General features: G+C 44.8%; 1 pseudogene; it reads left to right on the top strand.

Annotated features, from left to right (window-relative positions):
* On the top strand, positions 1,101–2,824 carry KRT8P8 (keratin 8 pseudogene 8; annotated as a pseudogene).
* Positions 2,825–3,678: the final 854 nt, after the last annotated feature.

The raw sequence follows: 3,678 nt of genomic DNA on the forward strand, positions 1-3,678 counted from the left end.
CTTTTAGCAGTTTGACAAGGCTGGTATGACAAATACAAAAGCTGATGATACTCAAGTGCTCAGCAGATTTTCCCCACTGAACATTTGCTGACTTCTGGCATAGTTGGGTAAAATACTTGTAAAAAGGTGAAGCAAAATCTTCAGCAATCACCCAGTTCTTAGGAAACAAGCATGTGCCAGAATTTGAAACTCCAGGAGGCTGCAAGTTGTGAATAGCAGATCTGGATTTTCCAGGCTTTCAGAGATTACAAAATAGAAATCTACCATGCTCTTACATCCTAGGGAAAAGAAGCAAACCAGACGTAGACTGAGTTTTAATAAAACTGCACTCTAGCCCTCATCATGAATAATTTCTGACTGGATTAAATTAAGCATATGCTCAACTTATGTGCCTAAAAGGGGAAAAGTGGAACTGTCTCTGGAATATCTCATCTGAAGCCTCTACAATTTTTTATACATGGTGCGTGACATGCAATAAAAATATTACTAGATACACAAAGAGGTAAAAAATATGACATGTAAATCAAAATAAAAGATGAAAAAAGATGCAGAAACACACATGATCTGGATAGTATCTGGATAGTGAAATCACGAGAAAATGACTTTAAAATTAACTATGACTAATATTTTTAAAAGAAGTAAAGAAAAAGTTAAATAAAATATGTGAAAGAACCAAGAACTGTAATAGATAATTTGAATTAATGGAACTAAAAATCAACTGGATATCTTACAATGAAAAAACTAGGAACTCAGTGCGTGGGATTAATGGGAGATGTGACACAAAAGAACAGGTTTGTATAACTCCAAAATTATAGAAAATATTAAAATTGAAGCACAAGAACAAAAATAATCGGGAAAAAAAGATAGAGCATAAGACATATGTAGGACAGAGTAAAAAAACAACTAACAAATATGGAATGGGAGAAGAGAAAGAATAGGGCAGGAGCAATACCTAAAGAAATAATATTCAAAAAGTTTACAAAATTAATAAAAGACATACACCCACAGAATCAAAAAACTCAGTGAATCATAAACAGGATAAATAAAAAGAAAACCACACCTAGGCACATCATAGTCAAGTTGTTAAAAAAAACAAAGAGACCAAGAAGCAGCTTCTCTGCTCCTTCTGGAATCTCTGCCTGGTTCAGCCCACCTGCCTCCACTCCTGCCTCCACCATGTCCATCAGGGTGACCCAGAAGTCGTACAAGGTGTCCACCTCTGGCACACGGGCCTTCAGCAGCCGCTTCTACACGAGTGGGCCCGGTGCCCGCATCAGCTTCTCCAGCTTCTCCCGAGTGGGCAGCAGCAGCTTCTGGGGTGGCCTGGGCGGAGGCTATGGTGGGGCCAGCGGCATCGGAGGCATCACCGCCGTCATGGTCAACCAGAGTCTGCTGAGCCGCCTTAACCTGGAGGTGGACCCCAACATCCAGGCCGTGCGCACCCAGGAGAAGGAGCATATCAAGACCCTAGGCAAATTTGTCTCCTTCATCGACAAGGTACCGTTCCTGGAGCAGCAGAACAAGATGCTGGAGACCAAGTGGAGCCTCCTGCAGCAGCAGGAGATGGCTCAGAGCAACATGGACAACATGTTCGAGAGCTACATCAACAACCTTAGGCGGCAGCTGGAGACTCTGGGCCAGGAGAAGCTGAAGCTGGAGACGGAGCTTGGCAACATTCAGGGGCTGGTGGAGGACTTCAAGGACGAGAATGAGGATGAGATCAATATGCGTAAAGAGATGGCAAATGAATTTGTCCTCCTCAAGAAGGATGTGGATGAAGCTGACATGAACAAGGTAGAGCTGGAGTCTCGCCTGGACGGGCTGACTGACGAGATCAACTTCCTCAGGCAGCTGTATGAAGAGGAGATCCGGGAGCTGCATTCCCAGATCTCGGATACGTCTGTGGTGCTGTCCGTGGACAACAGCCCTCCCTGGACATGGAAAGCATCATCGCTGAGGTCAAGGCGTAGTACGAGGTGATCGCCAACCGCAGCCTGGCTGAGGCTGAGAGCATGGACCAGGTCAAGTATGAGGAGCTGCAGGTGCTGGCTGGGAAGCAGGGGGATGACCTGCGGCATACAGACTGAGATCTCCGAGATGAACCGGAACATCAGCTGGCTCCAGGCTGAGACTGAGGGCCTCAAAGGCCGGATGGCTTCCCTGTGGAGGCCGCCATCGCAGATGCCGAGCAGCTTGGGGAGCTGGCCGTTAAGGATGCTAACGTCAAGCTGTCCGAGCTGGAGGCCACCCTGCAGCGGGCCAAGCAGGACATGGCGAGGCGGCTGCGTGAGTACCAGGAGCTGATGAACGTCAAGCTAGCCCTGGACATCGAGATCGCCACCTACGGGAAGCTGCTGGAGGGCGAAGAGAGCCAGCTAGAGTCTGGGATGCAGAACATGAGTATTCATATGAAGACCACCAGCGGTTTTGCAGGTGGTCTGAGCTCGGCCTATGGGGGCCTCACAAGCCCCGGCCTCAGCTACGGCCTGGGCTCCAGCTCTGGCTCTGGCGCGGGCTTCAGCTCCTTCAGCCGCACCAGCTCCACCAGGGCCCCGGTTGTGAAGAAGATCGAGACCCGCGATGGGAAGCTGGTGTCCGCGTCCTCTGACGTCCCGCCCAAGTGAACAGCTGCGGCAGCCCCTCCCACCCTGCCCCTCCTGCGACTTGCCCAGAGCCCGGGAGGGAGGCCGCTGTGCAGGGGAGCACAGGGAACAGAAGACACACCTGAGGCTCGGCTCTAGCCCTCAGCCCACCCTCGGCGGAATTCACTGCCTGAGGACCACCCTTGCCCATGCCTCCAACTACAAAACAATTCAATTGCTTTTTTTTCGTCCAAAATAAAACCTCAGCTAGCTCTGCAAAAAAAAAAAAAAAAAAAAAAAAAGATACAGAATCTTTAAAGCAACCAGAGGAATAAAAGACACCGCATTTAGAAGAACAACTGGAAAACGGAAGGCAGAATTCCCAAAAGAAACAAGGTCAGTCAGAAGGTAATGTTATAACATTTTTTAAGTGCTAAAGTAAAAATAAGCACATAGAACTACCAACATATAATTCTACACCCAAAGAAAATATTATTCAACAATGTGGGTGAAATAAAGAGGCTTTCATATGAACAAATATTAAAGGAATTCCTCACCAGCAGACCAACACTGAAAGAAAACAAGACAAAAACAAAGAAAATTCTTCAGTCAAAAGGAAAATTATGCTAGATGGAAACATGAAAATGCAAAAGGGCATGAAGAACACCGGAGAGAATAAATACATGGGTAAAAGTAAATATATATTTAGATTGCATAAAACAGTAATTAGAATATTTTGTACAGTCTATATGCAAAATGAAATGTGAAGTGAAAATACTTGACAAAAATAATGCAGGAGGGTGAAAAAAGGGGTAAGCACTGTTTAAAGTTTCTAGTAGCATAAAGATGTGGTATAAATAGTTTGTATTTGACTGTAATAAGTCAAAAATTCTTGCTGTAATTTCTAAGGTCGCTACTAAAATAGCGGAAGAAGATATAACTGACAAATTAATAGAAAAAAACATTCTAAATAGAAACATTGACTATGCTAAAAGAAGGCAAGAATGGAAGTAAAAGGGAATATGAAACAGGTGATTCAAATAGAAACTTGATGATTTTGTGGCAAATATATTCTAAACCAAATTATATATCAGTA

The sequence above is a fragment of the Homo sapiens genome, chromosome X, assembly GCF_000001405.40.
Source record: "Homo sapiens chromosome X, GRCh38.p14 Primary Assembly".
NCBI lineage: Eukaryota > Metazoa > Chordata > Mammalia > Primates > Hominidae > Homo > Homo sapiens.